The sequence below is a fragment of the Homo sapiens genome, chromosome 18, assembly GCF_000001405.40.
Source record: "Homo sapiens chromosome 18, GRCh38.p14 Primary Assembly".
In the NCBI taxonomy this organism is placed as follows: domain Eukaryota; kingdom Metazoa; phylum Chordata; class Mammalia; order Primates; family Hominidae; genus Homo; species Homo sapiens.
Window position 1 is genome coordinate 48,842,600 of NC_000018.10, and position 24,498 is coordinate 48,867,097.

Below are 24,498 nucleotides of genomic sequence, written 5' to 3' on the forward strand. Positions count from 1 at the left end.
CCAGGGCTGGCCTAGGTGACCCCACAGGGCCTTGTTCCAGCCCAGCAGTCGCTGATTCTACAGGCAAGTTACTATGGGAACTATAACTTTGAATTTCCTGGCTCTGGGGCTGTGAAAATCACAACCTGAACCTTCCGTTGATGTGGGTTTCTCGATTAATTTCCTGTTTGATTGTTTACTTTAGAGAGCGGAAAATGCCTTTGCAGGCAGCTAGCTCCCTCCACGGAGACACTTATCACACCCTGCCCCCACAGCCAGCAAGGTCAAGTCCAGGCCTCAGGTGGGTGGAGGTAGGGGCCAGAAGCAGGGGCAGGGACTGGGGGAAGGGGCTGGAGCTGGGGGCAGGGAGGAGGCTCAGCCAGAAGCAGATGGCAGCCTGAGCCCCCTGCCCTACCCTTCTGCTTGCCCGGGGTCCCAGCCTGGTGGATGTCGGGGCTGTGGAGGGACCTGTGATTTCAGAGACCTGTGAGCCTTTGAGGGGAGCCTCCCACCCACCCCAAGCCCCAGGACTGGCCCCTGGCTGCCCAAACTATCCCCTGTCTCAAGGAGCTCTGTTGTGCAGAGTCAGACATACAGTGCAGTCCTTCCTGGAGAGGGTGGCCTCAGTGGGGAGGGTCAGAGATTTCCCCCTAGGCCAGGCACTGCTGACTGGGCTGCCCAGTGCGGGGCTGGGCGTAACTGCTCTTCTACCCTTCTCTCCTCCATCTGCCCTCCCCAGGGCCCTGCGCTCCAGCAGGGAGCTGTGCCCAGTGTTCCCAGTGACCATAACTCCATCCTGTTCCCTGCGGAGTGGGGAGGGCTTGCAGGCTCAGGTGCCGCCTGCGAGCCAGGAGTTCTGATCTCCTGTGATGATAACCACCCATCTCTAGGCCATGGGACACTCGGTAGCCTCTCGAGCCCTCCTCCCCACCCCAGCTACCCAGCCCCTAGATGGCCCTGAGGCCCCATTTATAATGGGGGCCCTGAGGCACGGGGAAGGGAAATGGAATAGGCCAGAGGGCTGTGGACTACCCAGGGGATCTGGGAGGCCTGGGAAAAACTCCCAACCTCCCAGCACCCCTCCCTTATCTAGGTGACCGTATATGATCCACATCAGGGCAGTTTGGAGAGTGGAAAGGATGCTTTTACTAATGACTTTGAGATGACAGGTGAAAACTGGAACTATTCCAGGCAAACGAGATGTGCCATCACCCCACCTTTGGCCGGCCTCTCCCCATCAGCCTATTTATGTGGGCACTCACTGGGGAGCAGGAGTGAAGCTATTTTTCTACCTACTTGTGTGCTCTTGGAGAAATCATTTCCTTCCCTGTGCCTCAGTTTCTGTAGCTGTGACATGAAGAGCGTTGCAGTGGTGCCTAACTCAGATCATCTGGTAGAAAGATCAAATGGATCTTTAAAAACACACAGAGCACATAGAACAACCACTCAAAATATGTAAGCCAGGTGAGCATGAGGATTCCGAAGGTGCTGTTCACCCTCAGAGGCCCCCTCTCAAAAGGGGAACCTCAGAGCTGCCTTAGGCATTTCCTGTTCACTCCTCAGGAGGGATCTTGGACTGGGGGCAGTGAGCACAGAAGAAGCTTCCAGAAGGGATGGGGAGGGCCTAAAGGGGAAGCTGGGAGGCACTGGCTGCAGGCACAGCTGCTTCCCTGGAGTCTCAAACCCACCCCAGGGTCCTGGGGATTCCTGGCTGCAGGCACTGTGAACAGAACTAGCCCCTGTCTAGGCCACTAGCTGGAGCTTGGTCCACAGGAGAAGCCGCTGGAGTTGTAGCCCTGCCTTCTGGATCCAATGTCTCCAGAAGAATTTGGTGTCTACCCTGAGCCCCAAATTATATTTCCAGCCCCCGGGCCAGCTGTGGGATGAAGCATCCCCCATGTGACATCCACTGTCGCTACTTTGTACGGGGTGGTTTGCAAGCCCGGCAGGAAGGAGGCTAATTATTCCCTCTGGGGCGCCTGGTCCGCAGCTAGGGTGCCCGCCCGCCTTAGTTAGGAGGGCTGGCAGCCAGACCACAGGGCACAAGCTTGGACTGAAGGCCAGGTCAGAACCACAAATTTCCTGACATCTGACCATAACCACCATACCAAGGCTCCATGTTAGACTGGTGGAAAAGTGGCATGGGGGCCCATTCCCCTCTGCTGAAGGTGTCTGCACTGTGGGCAGGCAAGAGCGATTAACATAAAACAGCACTAATTTTGTAGCTTTGGTGCCAGGCTAGGCAACATTAGCATCTACACAAGCACCTATATCCATGGCCACACCAGCCCTTCCTCCCACTTCAGAGGGCGACACTACTCTTCTTTAAGGCAGATCTATGTACTTGATCCTTTCCTCCTTTCTGATTATCCTCTTCTCCTGCACTCTGGCACCTCACCTCTACCTTTAAACTGGCTCAAGACTCTCCTACTTTAACCACACCAGATTCCCAGACCATTCTAGGTGACCCTGTGCCAGTGTCTTTCCCCTAGCATCCTCCCCTTTTCTTCTTCCATAGGCAAGTTCCAAAAACAAAGAAAAGAGGGAAAGGAAGGAAGAGAAGAAGGGGGTTGGGGTTGGGGGTGGGGGAGAGAGAGAGAGAAGAAAGTACAGAAATTCATTCCAAAGAAAAAGAAAGAAATGGTGTGCTCTTTCTGTCTGCACTTCTGGACCTCCTTCACACTCTCCAACCCTGCGGGGCCCAGCCCAGGCTTCCACTGCCCCAGTAGCAGCACTGAAGTCATCATGGCAAAGGTCACCCATGCTCTTCTAATCACCAAATCCAGGGGACCTTGGTCATTGTTCGTTTTACTTGACCTCTCTGAGCTTTGACACTGGTGACCTTGTACTTCTTGGAACTCTTGGCCCTCATGACGCCATTTCCTCCTGTTCTGCTTAACTCTCTGACCACCCTTTTCTTCCTTCTTTGGGGATTCCTCTTCCTCCTCTCTCACCCTTTAGGCATTGCTGTGTTCAGGTTGGGAGCCCCTGCCGTCTTCTCTTCTCATTCCATGTGTTCTCCAGGTCACCTCACTCACACCAACGGCTTGACTAATCCCTGGGTGCTGATGATCCCAGATTACCATTCTCCCATTAGTCATCTTCCCTGGTCATCCCCAAGGACCCTGGACTCAGTATTTCTAACACTGAACTCATTCACTTTCCCTAAAACCACCTCCACCTGCCTTCCCAATATTGTTGATGGCATCATCACTTACGCAGTTGACCAAACCCCAAACCTGGGGGCTGGCCATCTTCTACCTCATCCTTTTCCTCACTCTCACTTCTGCCTCTTAACATATTCTGCCTCTTAAATATCCTCCTCCCTTCCTGCCAGCCTTAATTCAAGCCACCCCAATTTTGCACAGCAACCTTCTAACGGTCCCCCTGCCTCCAGTCCAAACACCACCCTACCTACATCTCCATGCTATGCAAGATAGGATCTTTCTAAACTACAGGTATTACTATGCTACTCTCCAGTTTAAAATCTTTCAGTGGCTCTCCAGTCCCTTGGGATAAAATCCAAACTCAGTACCATGGCATCTAGAGCCCTTAAATATGTGGCCTTTGCCTTCTTTATAAGCACATTCCACCCCCAGCACCATATATTTTAGGCATCTTGAAATACTTATTCATCATTGTACTCTGCTAGTGCACATTTTTTGCTTTTTTACATCTTTCTCATGCCATATGCCTGGAGTTCTCCACCACCGCTATTCCTTCTTATGCTGCAATGCCATATACCTAGCAAGTCTCTTGCTTTCCCCCTACTAGACTATAAATTATAAGTCTTATTGTTCCTCTTGTTATCCCTGTACTTACGTAGCATTTAACACACCATAGATATTTCATAAATGTTGCCGAGTGGATGGATGGATGGATAGATGAGTAGATGGGTAGATAGATGGATGAAAGGATAGATGGATGGATGGATGGATGGATGGATGGATGGATGGATGGATAGGTGAATAGACAGATGAATGAAAGGATGGATGGGTAGGTGGGTGGGTGGGTGGATGAATGGATGGATGGATGGATGAGTAGGTGAGTAGATAGATGGATGAAAGAATGGATGGGTGGGTGGATGGATGGATGGATGAATAGGTGAGTAGATAGATGGATGAAAGGATGGATAGATGGGCGGATGGATGGATGGATGGATGGATGAGTAGGTGAGTAGATGGATGAAAGGATGAATGGATGGATGGATGGATAGATACATGGATGAAAGGATGGATGGATGGATAGATAGATGAATGAAAGAATGGATGGGTGGATGGATGGATGGATGGATGAGTAGGCAAGTAGACAGATGGATAAAAGGGTGGATGAGTGGATGGAGGGATAGGTAGTGGCCAATACAGACAAAGAATAGGTAAAATCAGTTCAATTTTGTGAAGGCTCAGGTTGACCTGTCACCAGTCAACACAATTAAAAATTATGAGCTCCAGCCGGACATGGTGGCTCACACCTGTAATACCAGCACTTTGGGAGGCTGAGGCAGGCAAATCACGAGGTCAAGAGATGGAGACCATCCCGGCCAACATGGTGAAACCCCATCTCTACTAAAAATACAAAAATTAGCTGGTCGTGGTGGTGCGTGCCTGTAGTCCCAGCTCCTCAGGAGGCTGAGGCAGGAGAATCGCTTGAACCCGGGAAGCAGAGGTTGCAGTGAGCCGAGATCACGCTACTGCATTCCAGCCTGGTGACAGAGCAAGACTCCGTCTCAAAAAAAAAAAAAAAAAAAAATTATGAGCTCCAACCAGCAAAATAAGAATTAGCTAATGTGGGAAATTAATATCATTCCGTAAAGGAGAGAGCACAGATCCAGGACTCTCCAGCACCTTCCATTTCCACTTAGACCTGCTGTCTGTCTGGGTTGTGCAAGCCACTTAACTACTGAGCCTCAGTTTCTCTACCAATTAAGCAGATATGATAATACCTGTGGCCTTTCCCTGTCTCCACAGGAGTGTCATGAGGGTAAAAGGAATGGTGCATACAAAGCATGTTGAGATCTTCAGGGAAGATACATGTTTATAAAGATAGAAACATCATAACAATAATAACACCTTACGTTTGAATCAAGCTTTGCACTTATCAAAGCTCTTTCACATACGTTATTTCAATTGACTCTCCAAACAATCCTAGGCAGATACTATCCCTGTTCTCAGGTGAGGAAGCTGAGATGCAGAGTGATTAAGTGGCATGCCAGGGGCTGGTCTTAGTGTGTAGCAGGTCTTCTGACTCCAAGCCTGATGCCCATTTTTGATGATAGCCTTTCTTGGATAGATTATCTACTTCCCTGCCTCCCTGAACGGAGACCTAGACATAATTGGCCCTTTTCTTGATGACTCGTCATTACCATAGGCACAGTCCCTGGGCTGTCCTCCAGGTTTGGCTGTAGGTACAGGTCCAGGTCCCGCAGAGGCACAGGGTGGATGGGCCAGCTGTCCCGGAGGGTACTCCTGACGTGTAGGTGGCAACCATCCTAGAGCCCTGCAGGTGTGGTTCTTCTGACTCTGCCTCATTCTTCCCCCTGTCCCCTTTGTCTCCACTGTCAGCATGTGTGCCCATTTCTGTGGCTTCCTCCGCCACCACGGCCTTTACCCGTCACTATCTTTTCTTCTTTGTTTCCCTCTCTCCTGCCCTACAATTCTTTCCACACCTTCAGCTTGTCCCCCCACAGCCCTGGCTCATCCACCGGCCCAGCCAGCCAACCTCAGCTCCCAGGCTGGCTTTGTTCTCCCGCCAATCACAGCCCTCTGCAAACCTCCCACTTTGGCTCCCTCATGGCTGCCCCTGTGGCCACCTCCAGTCGCTACCAAAGGAAGGAGGCTCCTCCAGGCAGGGGCTGGGCTGAGCTTTTTCTGCAGCTGCATTAGGTGGCTTGGGTTTGCTCTCCCACAGTAGAAGGCTGTGCTGTGGGTGAGCTGAGGTGGTCAAGGTGGGCTGGCCAGCCCGGCTTGGATGGACACTGCACCCCTCACTAGCAAGGCAAGATGTTGGGATTGCCAGTGCTCATCCCTCCCTGCACAGCGAGGCTGCCCCATGAGTTCTCAGCACCCCCTTTCCCTCCCTGCAGGGTGGCATCCCAAGCTACCAGCCTGGTTACATCCTGGGCATGCCTTGGGCAGCCTGCCTGTGCCCGTGGCCCTTCCCCCAGGGACTCCAGGAGACTCCCACCAGGCTGCCTTTCTCCCTGGCTGCTGTGGGGCCTCCCACAGCCACAGCCTGACTGGAGCACCTTGGTTTCTCCCTGAGGGAGGATATGATGGGCGTGCCCACAACAAGTCTCCGCCAGAGACAATAGGACAGGAATGCATTCGCTTCCGAACAAACACTGTGTGGGCTCGCACAATTGCCTTGGATTCTTGTCCAAGAAACACATTTTGCCGTTCGAGGGCACGGGAGGCTTGCCTGCCCCAGCCCGCCCACATCCCCGTCAGTGCCAGAGACTCTGATGAGTGGGCTGCTCCTCCCCCGACCCCAGGGCCTCTGACCCCCAGGTAGAGCAGGCTGGTCTCCTTCATGGATGCAGCTCGTCTTCCAGAGGTGACAGCAGAGGAGAGGGACAGTCCTGCCCACACAGAGGGTGCCTGCTCCTACCAATGCCTTTTTTTTTTTTTTTTTTTTTTTTGAGACAGAGTCTTACTCTGTCGGTCAGGCAGGAGTGCAGTCGTGAGATCTCGGCTCACTGCAACCTCTGCGACCTGGGTTCAAGCGATTCTCCTGCCTCAGCATCCCAAGTAGCTAGAATTACAGGCGTCTGCCACCATGCCTGGCAAATTTTTGTATTTTTAGTAGAGATGGGGTTTTGCCATGTTGTCCAGGCTGGTCTTAAACTCCTGGACTCAAGTGATCCACCCACCTTGGCCTCCCAAAGTGCTAGGATTACAGGCATGAGCCACCCCGCTCAGCCTGCCATTTTTTTAAAAACCATTTTTTATTGGTTAATAAATACATACATATACATATAACATTATGTAAAGCTTACCATTTTAAACTTTTTTTTTTTTTTTTTTTTTTGAGACAGAGTTTCACTCTATCGCCAGGCTGGAATGCAGTGGCACGATCTCAGCTCACTGCAACCTCTGCCTCCTGGGTTCAAGCAATTCTCCTGCCTCAGCCTCCCGAGTAGCTGGGACTACAGGCCCGCACCACCACACCCAGCTAATTTTTGTATTTTTAATAGAGACGGGGTTTCACCATGTTGGCCAGGTTGATCTTGATCTCTTGACATCGTGATCCACCCGTCTCGACCTCCCAAAGTGCTGGGATTACAGGCGTGAGCCACCGTGCCCGGCCCATTTTAACCATTTTTAAGGGTGCACTTCTTTGGCATTAAGCGTATTCACACTGTTGGGCAACCATCCCCACCGTCCATCTCCAGAACTGTTTCACCTTCCCCAGCTGAAACTCTGTCCCCATGAAACACTCCCCATCCTCCCTCTTCCCAGTTCCTGGCACCCACCATTCTGCTCCCTGTCTGTATGAATTTGACTACTCTAGGGACCTCATAGAAGTGGAATCATACAGTGTTTGTTCTTCTGTGCCTGACTTATTTCACTTAGCATAATGTCTTCGGGGCTCGTCCGTGTTGTGGCATGTGTCTCAATGGCCTTCCTTTTTAAGACTGGGTGATATTCCCCTTGTATGGATTTACCACTTGTTTATTTATTCATCTTTCAGTGAACACTTGGGTTGTTCCGCCTCTTGCTATTGTCAGTAATGCTGCTGGGAACATGAGTGTCCAAGTCACTGTTCAAGATGCCGCTAATTTTTGAGATCTGTGTTTGAGCTAAGTGAAGCTGTTGTCTCCTGGCGATCCCAAATAGAACATACATAAATGAGAGAGCTAGTCGGCCCTCTCCGTACTGGCAGGGATTCGTTTATCCCCAAAATGAGCTGTCTCTTAGGAAATCAGAGCCCTGAAGAAATGGGACATAGGACAGGTCATTTAGGCCAAGATAGACAAGACTGGAAAGGTTCTTCCCTTGGGATGATACCCACTAAAGGCAAGTTCAGTAGGGATTTCTGGGCAGCCATTGGTCACCCTGAAGCATGGAGAGCCCGGGAGGGCAATGGCACTGACGGGGCCCCAGGGAGGAAGCCTGTGGAGTTGTGCCAAGGGCCCCCTGGAAGAGGCAGGCCAGACCCTTGTTCTGACACAGAGCAGCAGGTGGGGCCTTCAGCTGTGTGCCCCATCCAAGGGAGGCTGAGGGAGCATCCTCCACCATCCCTTCACCCCGAAGGGTCTGAGAATCCACTCTCAAAAGCCAGCAACCAAGCAGGTGTGTGTGGGGAGGACAGGACATGGTCTGCAGCCACCAAGGCCCTTCCTGTGCTCTCTGCGTTCCAGCAACTGGGAGGGACAAGTAAGATGAGAAACTCCTTCCCTGACTTCCTTGAGAAAACCCAGCAGGCCGTTTGCAAGAGGGCCTCTCGCACAATGTGGTTTTTGGCTTCATGCAGACTTTCCCAAACAACCCAGAGAAAGATAAGGTTGGAAGGGGGGGCTCTAGGGTTGAGAACCCGCCCCCAGCTCTGCCTTAGGGCCCTGGGCAGTCTGTCCTCTGCCCTGACAGGAGTTGGGGGAGTAGGGGGAGCAGGGGCAGTGGCCCCAGGAGCCTGCCTGCGGGGAGTTTGGGCGTGCCCAGGGAAGAAGGCATGGGAAGGGGAAGTCACAAAGATACGAGAAGGGAAGAAAAAGAGCAGGGAGACTGTGGAACCGCTCTGCAGGCCCAAGCAGCCCCATCACAGAAAGTGGAAGGCACGCAGGCTGTGGGCTGCAGAAGAGACGAGGAGGAGACCCTTGATTGTCAGGGCAAAGCGCTCACTGTCAACACCCCTGGGACTCCGGGAGGCTTCCACGCAGCCCTGTCAGCGTCTCCCTCTCTCCTCGGAGGGAGATGCAGCCACATTGAGAGCCTCTAGTGCCTGGCAGGCCCTGGCTCTTCTCGAAATTTCTCATATTATTACTTCACTTGTCCCTAAACCTCAGAACCTGGCAGGCACAGGCAAGGGACCAGAGCCCCCTGAGAAGCTAGTCTCAGGACACACCAGGGCCCCAGGCGCACTTCCCTCCCCGGGAGAAGCATTGACTGAGCAGCCCCACTGTGTCAGCCAGCGACATCCGCCTGCGGCTGCTTCCCCAGCTGCCCTCCCTTCCTTCGCATCAGCTCCCGGGTTCTGCCTCTTCCCCACCCAGGGCCACCACCCACTCTGTCTGGAGTTTCATTCCCACCAGATACTTACCTTCCCCCTTTCCTGTGATTTCTACCAGCAATTTTTATTTTAAGGATTTTTTTTTCCTGCTAAGCACCCTAGGGAAGCATATGAGGGAAATTTACTATAAGAAAGAAGTTCCAGCCTAGGTGGGGTGGTTCATGCCTATAATTTACCTAGCACTTTGGAAGGCCAAGGTGGGAGGATCACTTGAGCTCAGGAGTTCAAAACCAGCCTGGGCAACATAGTGAGATCTCGTCTCTAGTAAAAAATTTTTTAAAAATTAGCCAGACATGGTGGTGCACCCCTGCTCCCAGTTACTTGGGAGGCTGAGGCTGGAAGATTGCTTAAGCCCAGCAGGTTGAGGCTATAGTGAGCTATGATTGTATCACTGCACTCTGCCCTGGGGGACAGAGTGAGACCCTGTCTTAAAAAAAAAAAAAAAAAAAAAAAAAAAAAGTTCCAGCAAGACCACACAGAATTCTCCTGATGTTAATCCCCATTTTCCCTGCTGAGTAAGTGTGGCTAGGCCCACCTTTCCCTCCGATCCCAGTCCCAGACAGTCACAGGACCCTCCCAGGCCCTGAACCAGCCCCTCGCAGTTGGATGTTGGACCCCATGACTCAGGTAGGCTTGCTGCAGGATGAGTCACACCCCCCACCTCCAACTTTTTCTAGAACCTGCTTACTAATCTTTATCCCGGCCTCTTGGGTCCTCTAGATGAGGGAGACCGTTGCCTGTGGCCCAAGAAAGTCCCCCAGGCACTGACTGGTGGAAGCCTCCCTTGGCTCTCCTTGGGGATCCGCAGACCCCAGTGCGGGAGAGGGGTCACTGCCCCAGAGTAGCCCACATGGGCATACTGTAACTACTTAACCAGTCCCCTTGTTGGGAGAGGTCCAGGTTACTTTCAATCTTTTGCTCTAAAAATAGTATAGCAACTAGTGTACACGTGTTGTATGGCATGTGTGTGGTTATATGTGTGGGATAAATTCCTAGAAGTAATATTGCTGGGTCAGAGGGTTTTGGACACTTCTGTTGTTGATGATTATCACCAAATTGCCATCTATAGAGTGATACCAGCTTGTATTTCTACAAGCACTCTATGTTTGCAGACGCATCGATAATAATTCTGTGCCATGTCCCTTCTGGTGACAGGGGTATGGGGAGGGGTAGGTAACCACATCCCCCTCACTCTCATCTTTTCAAAGGTACGTGCATCAGAGGGCCTTGCAAGCAGTCTCTCTGGGTGAGCATTTTCCTTTCCTGTCACAGACTCTCAGCTGGGCGAGTTTTCTCCCTGCCTCCCAAAGCATGTTTCTGAGCAAATATTTTCCAGTGTGTGCCAGATGTTGGGGAGAGCAGTGGACCGACATCGCCCTACCCTCATGGAGCTTGCCTTCTAGAGCGGGGAGACGGGCAATAGGCAAACAAGTATATAATATGTCAGGGGCCGCAGAAAAGGGTGAGCTGGGAGGTAGGTGGGGGATGGTGGCTGCTCAGGGAAGGCCTGTCTGCCCTGGGGATGTTTGGGCAGAGCCCTGCATAGGATGAGGGAGTGAGGTCTGTGGATCTGCGGTGGCCAAGAATTTCCAGCGACAAGTATGCAGAGGCCCAGAGTTGGAAATATGTGGGTGGGATGCGAGACCCCGAGGGTCCTCAGTGCCTGTCACGTGTGCAGCCCATACTGTTCCCTCCCCTGGGTTGACCGTTGCTCTCCACCTGCTCATCATTTGAGCAGTTTAAGGCCCACCTCTGCTCACTCATCCCAAAACGATTTCTTTTCTGTGTATCTGCTGCAAACCCAGTTCTCAGGCCAGTTCTGACCAAGTTACCAAGGAGAATGAGGTCTGGTCCCTGAAAGTGGCTCTGGCCAATCAAGCACTCCTACGGCCCTGGAGCCTGCACCCTAGTTTGGCCTGCAGCCAAGCCTGCCGTGGGTCCTCAGCTCCTGTGGTGAATGCTGTAGCTCCTGCTGCGGGGCCCCTAGGCTGGGTGGATGGATGCAACGTGACAGGAGACAGGAAGAATTAAGGATGTGCAGAATGCAGATTTTGAGCCAGCAACATGACCAGTCCCCAGGGTTGGCTGGGCATGATTTTGCCTCTCCTTCTTGACTATATCATGCCCAGATTAAAACTTTGGCTCCAGCTCTCCGTGAGTAAATGAGGATGTGCCCTCAGAATGCCATCTTTTACCCTCTTCTCACCTTCTACCCTTCCTTTTAAAAATGCAAAAAAGAAATGCATAAATCATGTTGACCAACAGTTCATGAATCCCCACTGTTGCCAGGGGCTTTGCTTGGGGTTAAAGGGCAGCAGAGATGAATTTGGCACTGTCCCTGACTTCAAGAAGCCGACAGTTCACCCTGGAAAATGTCTTAACTTGTGTGGAATGTGCATGGGGGGGAAAGCAGGAGTGCCTGGGAGTGAGAAGCAGGGAGGGCAGGGACTGGGGTGGTCAGGAAGGGTCCGAGGAACAGCTGGGAAGTGACCCAGCCTTAAAGGATGGAGAGAGGATGGAGAGCCCCAAAGATACAAAGTCATTTGGAGTCTAAACACCAGCTATGGAGTGCGGCCCTTTAACCTGCATGGGAAGAAGTCATGGAAACCCATGGCTTTAACCAAAGAGGGGCCTGAAGTAGAAATGATTTCTCCCTGGCCCCAAGCTCTCACCTTCCCCATCCACTCTAGAGGCAAACGTGTGCAGGCCTGACCCGTCTTGCTCTCTGCCCCTGCTGCTGCCCTAGGCCACACTGCCACCATGCCTGGCCAGGTCCCTCAATGTCCACCCTTCCCTCCTACAGCAGGCAGAATGGTCCCCTTAAGACATAAACCAGGCCAAGCATGGTGGCTCACACCTATAATCTCAGTGCTTTGGGAGGCCAAGGCAGGAGGATCACTTGAGGCCAGGAGTTCAAGATCAGCCTGGGCAACATAGAGAGACCCTGTCTCTACAAAAAATAAAAAAAAATTAGCAGGGCATGATGGCCTGCACCTGTGGTCCCATCTACGCAGGAGGCTGAGGACAGAGGATTGCTCGAGCCTAAGAGTTTGAGGTTACAGTGAGCTGTGATCAAGATGTATACAATGTGGAGTGATTCAACCACACTCATTGACATATTCATCACCTCACAAGTGCTGCTTTGCATCACAGTGCTTACCGCCATCTGATAGAGATGTTTATTGGTTTGTTTTCTGCATTTCCACCGCCCCGGAGCTGCATTTCCACCGCCCTGGAGCAGGGCCTGGTCTGTCTTGTTCTCTGCAGTGAACTGTGCTGGCCTGGCGCAGGCGCTCGGCAGGTACTTGTGACTTTGTCTCTTTTGTTTTGGTAGATCTGTGCTGCTTTCGAAGTGCCACCTCGGCATCTCTCTACAGTGTGATCAAGGAGACCTGGCATCTGGAACAGGACTGTGTTGAGATCAGAGAGACCCAGTCTGTAGTCTGATTGATCTCTACTGACTTTGAGGTTATGGAAGTTGTAGGAAGGTTGTTGTTATGGTTTATACAGCATGTAGTATATTTTCATTCATTCCACATTCCACTCAATATTTGAGTACCTACTAGACATAGTTCAAGGATTTCTGTACATGAAATGTGCCAAAATGCTTCTCCATAAAAGCAGTGAATCACCTTTGCATGAATTGAGTTAGATGTTGGTTACTGGGCTCCCTTGAGTTGTGGGTTAGGAGTTAACTGTGGCCTGACCTGGATCCCTGTGACTAGGTGATGCTCTCGAGTTTGCCAGCAACAGAACCGTCTCTGCGTCCAACATCTCCTAAGCGGGACAGTAGCGTGGGCTGTGGCATGCTAGGAAGATCACTCTGGCCAGTTGTGTACAAGATAAATTGCAGGGGAAGGAAGTGGGGACCAGGATGACGCATCAGGACGCGGGACAGTCCTCCATGAGGGAAGCAACAAAACCTCACCTTTGAGTAAGGCCAGGGACCTGGAAAAGTGGGACTAAAATGTCTCCAGGACGTTTTACCAGGAAAACTACCAGAACCTGGTACCTTCTTGGTTATGGATGGTAAGGGGAGAGCAAAATGACTGAGGTTTTGAGCTGGAGGTGACATGGAGCTGCTTTGAGGCAAAGATGATAAAGCCATAGTGTCATCCAGAAAGTGAAGCCCAATGAGTGTGGGAAGGTTCGTGCAGACGAGCTAGATGTGGGGTCCCTGAGAGTCGTGATGATCGACATGGCAGGAGGGGACGGCATTGAGAAGAGCAGAAGCTTGACAATAACTATTTGGGGAGGAAAATATTGGAGGAATGCCTGTTTTAGGAACTGAGAGAAAAAGCATTAGCCAGCAAAGAGGGCTGTGGTAGGAGTGGTCCGTGGGGCTTGGTGAGCTTCTCGGAAGCCACGCCCAGAGAGGGTTTCAGGCACTCGGTGTCAGCACACCAGTGCTGCTGGGGCTTCAAGAGAGAGTGAATCAGAAAACTGGGACATAGCAAGCATTGGTGAGGCTGTAGAGAAACCAGAACCCTCATGCATTGCTAGTGAGAGTGTAAAATGATGGAGCCATTGTGGGAAAACAGTCTTGCAGCTACTCAAAAAGCTGAACATAGAGTTACCACATGACCCAGAAATTCTAATCCTATGTAATATCCAGGAGAATTGAAAACATGCATCCAGGAAAAGCCTGGTACACGAAGGTTCATAGCAGCACTATTCCTAATAGCTAAAAGGTGGAAACAACGCAAAAGTCCATTAACAGATGAATGGATAAACAAAATGTGACATATCCTTACAATGGAATATTAGTCAGCCACAGAAAGGAATGAGATACTGGTATATGCTACAACATGAATGAACCCTGAAAACATTAAGTGAAAGAAGTCAATCACAAAAGGCCACATATTGTGTGATTCTATTTCTATAAAATGTCCAGCACGGGCAACTCCATAGAGACATAGAATCGGGGGGAGTTGCCAGAGGCTGGAGTGAGGAGGAACAGGGAATGGCTGCTAGTGGGTATGGGTTTGTATGGGGAGTGATGAAAATGTTCAGAACTTAAATAGTGGTGATGGTTGCACAATTCTGGGGATATCCTAAAAAGCACTGCATTATATACTTTAAAATGGTGGATTTTGTGTTATGTGAATGGTATCTCAATTTAAAAGAGACAGAGAGATTGAGAGAATGAGCCAGGCAAGTCGGGGGAAGCATGGACTGTAGCACGGCAGGACTGAGCGCTGAGCAGCCCAGCCATGGCCCTAGTTAGGAAACAGTTCCAGCCCCTGAGTAAGTCCACAGGTTTGTGGGTTTGAAAGTCTACAGCACTGGGCCAGTGGAGAAGAGGGCTTTGACTCCTGGACTTCCTCCTGTGGCCAGGGCCCAGGGGTGCCTGAGTCAATGGCTGAACCTCCTCACCCATAGAGGAGTTACCAATTATACGTCTCTAAGCTAATTTCATTTCCCTGAGGACTTCTGCTGACCAGTTGTTAACACTGGATGATCCCAGCGCACTCACTGCTGCAGGCTTTCTCTTCAGTGGCCTCTTGAATCACGGTGTTCAGACCTGGCCCAGGGGCTCCACATCGCACCATCACACTGACCTCCAGCTGCTCTAACCCTGTCGGAGAAATCACGGCCACCCGGCGCAACTGACTTTCTGCTCTCTGACTTTTGTGGGCTCTCACTCTAGCCTGAACCTTGGAGATGTTTGTTACAGGCCGCATCAGGGCTGGGGCTGCAGGTCGGCGGGGGCTGCAGGGAGCTACAGGGCCCAGTAGCCGGCATGTCTCCTTCAGTGGTGCTCTCTGCCCCTCTCTTCCACAGCTCTTGCAATCTCAGGATGTGAAGGAAGATGCTGTCCTTTGCTGCTCTATGGAGGTAAGCTTTGGGGCTTCGACATCCCCAACCTCAAAGCCGGTGCATCTCTCATGCCTTAACAGTTCTAGGGGCACGAGGGTTGTTGGAGGCATTTACAAGTCCAGGGGAAGGTAGGTGGATGGCTTCAGGAGTGGGCATGGACTTCTGCATCCAGAATTATCCACCCCAAGCCAGAGTGAACACTGATGGTGAGAGCAGCTCACCCCTGACTGAAGGGAGAGAGAAGTGATTCCCAGTGGCATTGCCTACTTCCCTGTCCCCCAAAGACCCCCTGCGCCCCAGCTCAGGCATGCCACACAAATGACTTAAGAAGTTCCTGATTACCTCTGCCCTCAAATATTTCCCTTTGCTTTGCTAATGCTTGGCAATGCAGTGCTGGCACAGCCCACCCGAAAGCACACCTCTTGGGAGGTGCCACTCCTGTCCCTAAGCTGTGGCCCCTGCTAATGGAGACTCTTCCTCTGGGCTCTCCCTTTAGCGCCTGGCTTTGGCCCAGTCCCTGGGCAGATCTCTGCCCTCTGCAGATGGTCCAGAGTCACTCAGAGTGGGATGCAGGCAGGAGAGGGGCTTCCAGACGAGGACCTGGGCCTGGCAGCTGTCATAAGCATACTCAGGTGGCTTCCGCCTGGCTGCAAAGGCCTCACTGAGGAGCTCAGAGGCCAGAAGCACTGGGAGCCAGATGGCAGTCTTGGGTCTGTGGGACTCAGTTTGTTTGTTGGCCTCCAGCTGGGCACCCTACAGGGGGCTTGGGATTAGGGGGGAATTAGGGAGAAGGAGAAAGCCTGGTCCTTGCCCTCAGGCAGCTTCCAGTCTGGTTAGGAATAGCTCTCAGAGAGTAGATAGAATAAGTGTAAGTACAGAGACATCCCTGAAGAGTCAGGGGAGAGAGGTCAGGAAGGGCTCAGGGGTTCAAGGGAGGCTTTGTGAAGAAGGCAGAGACTAGAAAAATGAATGGGACAAGGCTGGGGACCGAGACGGGGACTGAGATTCTATAGAGAGGGCCTGGGGGGCACTGGCCAGGGGTGTGCTGGTCCAGGAATAGGGGCTCCTTCCCAGTGGGCTTTTCAAGATTATCTAGGGCTCTCCTGACGGCCTCTGGCTGGCCTTCTTCCCCAGTTTGTATTTCTCTCCCCCACTTCCTGTCACAAGCATGAGCAGAGGTCACTTCTGGGGGCTGGGAGATGGGATCAGGATCAGGAGAAAAGGAGAGCGAGAGAAACAGGAGGCATCACCCCTGCTCTCAAGTTCCAATGGACACATGTAATAATGACTAAGCTCATTGCCAGAGAGACGCCCCAGCAAGTGAAAATGACCACAGGGCCCCCTGATCACCAAGGGGCACAGATCATGGAGCCATTTGAGGGTGCGGATGTAGTCAGGGAAGGCTTCCTGGAAGAGGGAGGCTCTTGGGTAAAAGGGACAAGAGGCATGTTCCTGGTGACAGCTCTTTCAGCCCTGGGCAGTAGGCAATATTCGGATCCCTCTGGATCCTGCTGGCAGATTGGTTGGTAAATGTGAGCTCTCACTCTTGGCTACTCCACCTTCCACTCTCCCTGTCCTCATTCCAGCTGTGGCACAGGGGTCTGGGCCTGTGTGTCCTTAAGACAACCCAGCTATTTCCTATCCCTGCCCACCTAATCAGGGTGGCCAGTGGGCCACTGTGGGACCCGAGGCCATCCTAACCCCACATCTCTGTCTGCAGCTGCAGAGTACAGGCCGGCTGCTGGAGGAACAGCTGCCTGAGATGATGACAGAGCTCCTGGCCAGCGCACGGGACAAGATGCTGTGCCCCTCGGAGTCCATGCTGACCCGGTCGCTGCTCCTAGAGGTCATCGAGCTCCACGCTAACAGCTGGAACCCTCTGACGCCCCCCATCACGCAGTACTACAACAGAACCATCCAGAAACTGACAGCCTGACAGCCAGGGGGCCTGGCAGGCGGCCCACGGGCAGCTGGGGCCCTGGTGCACAGGGCCAGATGGACAGGCGGGAGGACAGGGGTGGCCCTGGCGGGAGAAAGAAATGGGGAGGAGGGCAGGCAGAGTCGGTGGCCAGTCTGGAGCCAGACGGGGAAGGGAGCAAATCCCTGAGAGGAGTGCCCCCGCACAAGCCCCCCAGCCCGAGCATGCAAGCTCACACCAATAAGGGAAGCATGTTTCTTTTTCCTGGTGGCCCTGGCCCTCCCCTTCCTCACTCCCGCCTCTCCCCTCCCCATCAGACCCATCCCCCACGGAGCTTTGTGTGAGGGATCTCATCGCTGTGACTCCTCGGAGACCTTGGCAGCCTCGCACGCCGGGGCACCGCTTGGGTCAGAAAGGACCTCGGAAGGCTGAAAAAGTGGGTCGGAGACGGGCTCGCATTGTTCCCGCATGCTGTCAGCCGCAGTCGCCAACTGGCAGCAGGCGACGTGTAGCAGATGTCCGGGAGGACAAAGGCAGGCACGGTCCCCACCAGCCGCCCGTAATTGACGGCCTTTGTCAGCCATGGCAGAGCTGACGCTCCACCTCCCACCTCCAAGTCCTCCTCACTGCAGCCCCCACAGCCTCAGGCCTAGGGGGTCAGGCGCAGCGGGGGAGATGGAGTTTGCAGTTCCACTTGCACTCTTTTGTTTATTGTGTTTTATTTTTCAAAAGTCGGTTGCTTTGAAGTCTCTTTGGCCAATGAAAATGCCCGTGATGTGATCACACAGTCAGCACTGTTGAGGACCCCCGGATTAGTGGGAGATCAAACCCAGCTCCCCTCTAGAAGAAGGATTCGAGCCACAGACAGCTTGCCAGTAGCCAATTAGGGTAATTGGAAACTTCTGCCCCGGCGGGGGGTCCCCGCTGGAATCCTGTGTTCCTCGCCACTGGCTTCCAGCGCCTCTGTTTTCTCAAAGGGCTGATACTGTCACCACTGGGACCAAGTTAAACCTGGTCCTGGCCCCAGGGGCCTTGTGGCAAACAGGGCACAGAACGAGACTGGCAAATTAAAACCAAAATTCTAGATGGTGTCTTGCGCTCCACACGCAGGTCTTACTGGGGAAAAGGATGGGAGTGGGGGCTCCCCAGGACTCGATTTTAGCTAATGCGCTGTGTCACTGCCCCAGCTCGGACGTAGAAGCCCAGCCCTCCGTGAGCTCTTGGGAAAGGGGTGAATTCACTGGGTCATGGAAGGGACAGTCAGGTGACCAGCGGGGTCGCCAGATGAAGCTTCCCAGCCGGGAAACAAGACGGGGTTTCTTGGCAGGCCCTGGTCCTGGGGAGCAGGCCCTGTTGTTGGCTGGAGAGGAAGGTGTGGGGTGGAACAGGTGTCCACATAGCTCCATCTCTGGGGGCTGGAGCACACACTTTGATGAGCCCCCCCGGAAATGATGTCAGAGCCTAGCCGCTTCCTTATTTGCTCTTTTATTGAGGCCGGGCAGGCCCTGGGTCACTTTGGAGGCCCCTCTTGGTCCACACTGGACTGGCCGGGAGGTGATGGGCGGGGAAGGTTCTCGTGATTGATTGATTCTGAGTCTGAGAGTGGCGAGTGGGGAGAGGCTTCCCCAGTTCTCTCCAGCTTTCCCTGCAGCTGCAACCTGCCCTCTGGTCCCAGGTGTGGAGCCTTTGCCTGTCTCTAAAAAGAGCCTGTTGGCGACAAGGTGTAGGGGGCACAAGTTTACCTGAAACAGGTCAGTGGTCTCTCCCAAGAAGCGCACGCCACCTCTGGTCCCTGGCCCTGAACCCTGCCTTCTTCCTCCCTCCACGGTTTCTTCCCAGACTTTCTCAAGCTCCTCCTCACTGCCCTTCCTCCCCAGCCCAGCCTGGGAACACAGATGCCCCGCGGGTAGGAGGCCTCGAGGGAGGAGCCGGGCTGATGCGGGGCTGCTCAGGGCAGGCCCCAGGGCGAGCTTGCCATCGTGGCCAGGCAGCCTCCACCTGTGCTTCAGTGGCCCCTGCCCCCCTGAAGCATGTGGGGTTTGTCCGCTAGGAGGAGGCAAGGCCCCCGAAGAGAGGAGAGACCTGGGAGTGGGAGCTCAGGTCAGGGAGGAGGCAGGGGAGTGGGGTCTCCCAGACCCAACGGTGAGCTCAGAGCAAGCTTCACGCAGGACGCTCCGAAACACTGTGTGGAGGGGGCTGTGTTGTGGGCACCTTGGGGCCTGATTCTCCTTCCTCCGAACGGGCTCCTTGATGGCCTGGCCACAGGGGCAGCTCCCCATTGGCTGTTAGGACCAGAGTGTGAAGAAGAAGTGAAATATAAATATGTATACATATATAAATATATTTTTAATTACATGTCGTGTCACGGTGGCTCCAGACATACTGTTTGCCTAGTTTATTCCACTGCTTGAAAGCGCTTCCTAGCCAATCTGAACAACAACACTTTAAGCTGTTTTTCTAAATGCAGGTTGCTGCTCCTTTTTCAGATATGGAAGGAAAACGTTAAGACTATTTTTTTTTTAAAGAAACAACAGTCAAGCCTAAAATTTGAGACCCCGAGGCAGCTTCCCGAGGGAGACTGCTCAGACAGGAACTGCAGGACAGAAGTGGATGCCCCACAGACCCTGGCCCCCTCCCCAAGTCCATCCCCTCTCTGTGGCATGAGGAAGGCCGCGTCCGAGTTGACCTCTGAATGTATGTGATGAGAGGCAGAGCTGGATATTGCATTTCTAAGGCTTGCATTGCTTTCCCCTCGCCCGCGGTTCTTGGCGCATGGAAGAGGCGGTCCAGCCATCTGATGTTGATCCTGTCTCAGTCTCCCCACTGCCTGTCAGGATGAGTTAGTCATTGTTTTTCTCCGAGGCGGCCTGCTTGCCACAGCCCTGCTCCCCAAGGCCTGGTGGCTTTGCCGAAGCTCTGGGACCGCAGCCCCAGCGAGGCCCCCAACCTCACCCAGACGAGGCCAGGAGCCCCGCCACCCTCCACGGGATGTGCACCCTCAGACCCCATTCTCTCTGTTCGTCCTTCCTTGACCAGTCTGTAAACCTTCACTGTTTGGGGATCGTCCTGTCCATCCATGTAAATGTAAATGTTGGCCGAGTCGGTATTTATTCTGATTGATTTTTATTTTATTCTATTATTTTCTCCGAGGGATGAGGGTGGGGGGTGTGGGAAGGGTACCACAGATCAGGCCGGGGCAGCTGTAGGGGCGGGGGCCCAGACAGCCAGGCCGCCACCAGAGCAGCCCCATGGGGTGCCCCAGACGCGGGCCTCCAAGAAGCCAAGTCCCAGTCTGTTTTCTGGCATCAGACACCGGCCCGTGTTCCTTGTCAGACAGACAGACTCTCAGGCCTGCCTGGGGAGTCGTGTCCCTCAGCTGCAGGGCACTGTGTTGGGAAACCATTGGCTGGGCCTTTGAGGACACAGATCAGAAGAAAGAAAGACAACTTTCCTCTGCGCGGAACACTCACACGGAAGGGCTGGCCGCCTCCCTGAGCCGGCTGGGAGTGGACGACAGGACCTACCTCCCCAGAGCAAGGGCCTGGGGCTTCCCGCCAAAGCTGCCGCGGAACCCCGCTAGTGCGACCACCCTCCCTCCGTCGGTATGTCCTGCTTTCCAGCTGAACCCAAACTACAAGTGGGTTTAAAAAAATAAACACCACCACCAAAAACAAAATGCCCAGAGTCTGTGCTCTTTGTGTGTTCAGCAAAAGAAACCTTTTCCCCAAGCTCATGTGCCTCAGCTATACTAGCAGGGCCTCCAGGAGCTGGCCCAGGAGATGAGCTGAGGGGAAGATTCTTGCAAGAAGTTGGTCCAGGAGACCATGGGTGAAGGAGACTTACTTACATCCCCCAAAACTGGGAACTAACTATGACCTATCCAAAGTGACCTGGACCTGTCCAGGATCAAGCCAGTCCTGGACAAAATGGCTTTTGCACTAAAGGTTTGGTTTAACCAACCCCCCCCAAACCTACCCCTTCCCTGGAAATGTCACTGTGGCATTTGGCAATGAGTCATTTCAAGAGGGCTGAGATTTGGGCCCAGTGGCTTTCAAAAGTCAACAGCGAGTGGCTGTCCAGTCCCAGTTGGTCAAATGAGTCTTTCATCAACGAGTCCCCAAAGGGCCCAGTGATTTCTTTTCCTGTGATGACATGTCTCTTGTTTTGCACAATCTTGTCTATGGCAAGGCACTGGGGACACTGTTTCCTGGTAACGCTCCCCTTTCCTTGGGGATTCTTTCTGGCTAGAACTTGCTGGTCCTTCAGCTCCTTGCAGGGGTCGCACCAGAGCACCAACTCCCTTCCTCCTTCCCTGGCCTGGCTACAATGGCGGCCAGGGCCTCCCAGGAGCCGGGTGAAGGCATGTTGAGATTCGGGCCTTGCCCTTCACTGAGTCACACACCCACCATGACACTGACAGGGACAGCCAGAAGTCCACAGACTGGGTAGAGAGAGAGAACATTTTAATTAAACAACTGAGGTATGTGGCGGGCCAATTTTTTTTTTTTTTTTTTTTTTTTTTTTTTTGAGATGATGATGGACTCTCGCTCTGTCACTCAGCCTGGAGTGCAATGGCACGATCTCAGCTCATTGCAACCTCTGCTTCCCAGGTTCAAGCAATTTTCCTGCCTCAGCCTCCCAAGTAGCTGGGATTACAGGCACACACCACCACGCCTGGCTAATTTTTTTTGTATTTTAGTAGAGGTGGGGTTTCACCATGTTGCCCAGGCCGGTCTTGAACTCCTGAGCTCAGGCAATCTGCCTGCCTTGGCCTCCGAAAGTGCTGGGATTACAGGCATGAACCACCGCTTCCAGTCCTAATTTTTGTATTTTTAGTAGAGACAAGTTTTCGCCATGTTGGCCAGGCTAGTCTCAAACTCCTGACCTCAAGTGATCCACCCACCTCGGCCTCCCAGGGTGTTGGGATTACAGGCGTGAGCCACCGTGCCAGGCCCAAATTTATTTTTATAAAAATGCAAAGCAGTAGAAGCAGACATTGGAGGTCAAGATCAAAGGTAGGGCGACGATGAGGAACAGAGAGCCTTATCACACCCTGCAAAAGAGAAAGGAGATTTTCCTGGATGGGCTAGTCCTGCTTCCAGAAGGCCCTAAGTTACTGAATACTACGAGACACAGCATCGAAATAATACATGTTTCAATCCTGATTTCACCACCATCTTTCTGCTTGTAGGCATTCTCTTGTCATTTTAGAGTGTTTGTTTACATTTGTACTGGGATGCTCACAGCGTAACTTATAAGGGCCTTTTAAGGACCAAGGCAAAGATGATGATAGCAGAAAAATAAAGGGTTGAGCAGTTGAAATGGGAAAGAAGTGGTCCTGCCTTACTGATCTCCCTCATTCCTGCAGTTCCGCAGCGGCTTCCTTACACGGTCTCAGCTGGTCCCGTGAAGTAGGCAGGTGAGTGTTTTCGATTCCCATTTTATAGATGCGCCAAAGGCTGATCACCAGAAGAGCCAAGGCGAGGGTGAGCCCAGAAAGTGAGTGGGTCCTTCAGACTCCTCATCCCTGCAGCGCCCCAGGGAGCCAGCCAGTCACACCAGCCAGACAAAAGGAGCAGCCAGCTGCCCCCGGGACTCGGCAGGCTGCGGGCAGGCCACGTGGGCTTCCCGCTTCATTGGTGGAAACTAGGACCATGATGAAATACCTCAGATCAGGAGATTTCAGTGGAGTGGGCAGAAGGAGCGATGGTGCAGAATTTGGTGCCGTTCTATAAAAGGACCCATTATCATATGTGCAGTGTGTGTTGCTGGATCCCAGTTTCCCCCAGGCCAGTGAGGGGGACCCTGATAGGGGGACATATCAAGCATCAGGGTCAATACCCGAATTGCCTGGGAACATTTTCAAACTACATACTAAAACAGCACACACATACACACCAATATTTTCAGAATTTGGGCCTTGGGGAGCCCCTCTTCTTACTGGTACATGTGTGCTATGCCTTGGATGGGTGCAAGAGAAAAGATGGTTGAGAGCCGCCATCCATCACTCCTGGAACACAGTACGATGATGGCCATGGAGAGCTGTCATAAGTAGTGCAGAATTATTGTCTGGGGACAGCAGGCCATGCTGCTGTGCTCTTTTGCAATCTCAGGGTCTGCCATCTTGGCTGAAACAACACTGGCTGGCACATCTGCAACATGGGGCAGGGGCTCTGGCAAGTTGCTTGAATGTGGAACAGAATCCATACCATGGACTCGGGCTGCATTCTCACTCCTATGGGCCTTAGGTACTTTTGCCTTCATAGGCCCCTTCTTCCATTTAAAAAAAAAATGGAAATATTATGACTACATTGGTAATAGAGACAAATATATTATTTTTATTAAAACATTTTCTCCCACCTAGAAGTTCATTTTTTTACCCCTGATTTTAAAAAAATTAAAACACTTTGTGGGCCCCTAAAAAACATTTTGTGGGCTCCTGTCTTAGTCCATTCAGGCATCTGTAACAAAGTACCATAGACTTGGTGGCTTATGAACAACAGACATTTATTTCTTAAAATACTAGAAGTTGGATGTCCCAAATCAGGGTGCCAGCATAGTCATGGTCTGGTGAGGGCCTACTTCCCAGTGGCTAATTTATTGGATCTTCATGGCAGAAAGAGAGTAAGAGACTTTGCTGGGGTCTCCCTTATAAGGGCACTAACCCCATTGATAAGGGCTCCATCCCTCTGACCTCCTCACCTCCCAAAGGCACCTCCTAATACCATCATATTGGGGATTAGGATTTCAACATATGCATTTAGGGGACACAAAAACATGCCATCCATAGCAGCACCCTTTGTATATGCCTAACAGGTGTATTGGCCCTACCTGAGTGTCATCTGAGCTGGGAGTCCCACCTTTCTCTGCTGCCCACCTGATCTCTGGGTGACTCAGGGCTGGGGAGGGGGAGTGGTTCAAAAGCAGTCTTCCAAGGAAGCAGTTGGCCCGTGCTGGAAGCAGATGCAGTAGCTGCCTCTGCCCTGGACTGGCTGCCAGCCAGACAGCTCCAAGCGCCAGCCAGAGCAGCTGTGTTTGCCGCGCTAAGGAGGCTGGCCCCTGAGAGCCCGATTCATCACACAGCACTTTCTCCCCTCTGCAGCCCTTTAGCACACATTATCTGGTTACGGTCTCACCAGAGCCCCGTGAAAGAAGTAAATACAATGCTTATATCCATTTCAAATCTGGGGAAACTGAGGCTTACAGAGCCATCCCATAGGTTTGAATGGGGCTTTATAGTCTTTAAATATATGACTATGTTCGATCCTTACGACAGCGCTGCCAGGTGACATGTTTTTGACACCATTGTAAAGAAGGGAGACAGGCTCACAGAAGCAGAGTAACAATCCCATGTCATGGGACCTGTAGGCACAAAGACCAGGCCTCGAATTGCTGCCTTCTTAGTCCTAAGATGGGACTGGTGGGTGGGTATGGGGACCAGGCTGAGGACCCAGGCCACCTTTGTGCCTGAGTCCCCTGATCCAGGCCTGTGGAGTGCAGGTCTGTGCTTCCTGCTCAGTGTCCCATAATTCTAACTGGTCTCCATCTTCAGCCTC

General features: G+C 52.5%; 1 protein-coding gene across 24 annotated transcripts in view, besides 3 other annotated features; it reads left to right on the forward strand.

Moving 5' to 3' along the window:
• The window catches only part of CTIF (cap binding complex dependent translation initiation factor), a 324,187-nt gene extending 303,569 nt beyond the window's left edge, over positions 1-20,618 (forward strand). For all 24 annotated transcript variants that reach the window (XM_047437960.1, XM_047437965.1, XM_017026100.2 and 21 more), the window contains 2 exons: positions 14,989-15,042; positions 16,745-20,618. In XM_047437960.1, coding sequence (XP_047293916.1) covers positions 14,989-15,042; positions 16,745-16,960 — 270 coding nt within the window. In that variant the 3' untranslated portion in view covers positions 16,961-20,618. The remainder of the gene's footprint in view (positions 1-14,988; positions 15,043-16,744) is intronic.
• Positions 1,939-2,439: an enhancer, noted in NCBI's record as "H3K4me1 hESC enhancer chr18:46370909-46371409 (GRCh37/hg19 assembly coordinates)". NCBI's record gives its function as "activates a minimal SCP1, AML or CMV promoter by ChIP-STARR-seq in naive H9 embryonic stem cells {active_cell/tissue: H9 hESC(naive)}" and the evidence as "EXISTENCE:reporter gene assay evidence [ECO:0000049][PMID:30033119]".
• Positions 15,107-15,608: an enhancer, noted in NCBI's record as "H3K4me1 hESC enhancer chr18:46384077-46384578 (GRCh37/hg19 assembly coordinates)". NCBI's record gives its function as "activates a minimal SCP1, AML or CMV promoter by ChIP-STARR-seq in naive H9 embryonic stem cells {active_cell/tissue: H9 hESC(naive)}" and the evidence as "EXISTENCE:reporter gene assay evidence [ECO:0000049][PMID:30033119]".
• Positions 19,769-20,320: an enhancer, noted in NCBI's record as "H3K4me1 hESC enhancer chr18:46388739-46389290 (GRCh37/hg19 assembly coordinates)". NCBI's record gives its function as "activates a minimal SCP1, AML or CMV promoter by ChIP-STARR-seq in naive H9 embryonic stem cells {active_cell/tissue: H9 hESC(naive)}" and the evidence as "EXISTENCE:reporter gene assay evidence [ECO:0000049][PMID:30033119]".
• Positions 20,619-24,498: the final 3,880 nt, after the last annotated feature.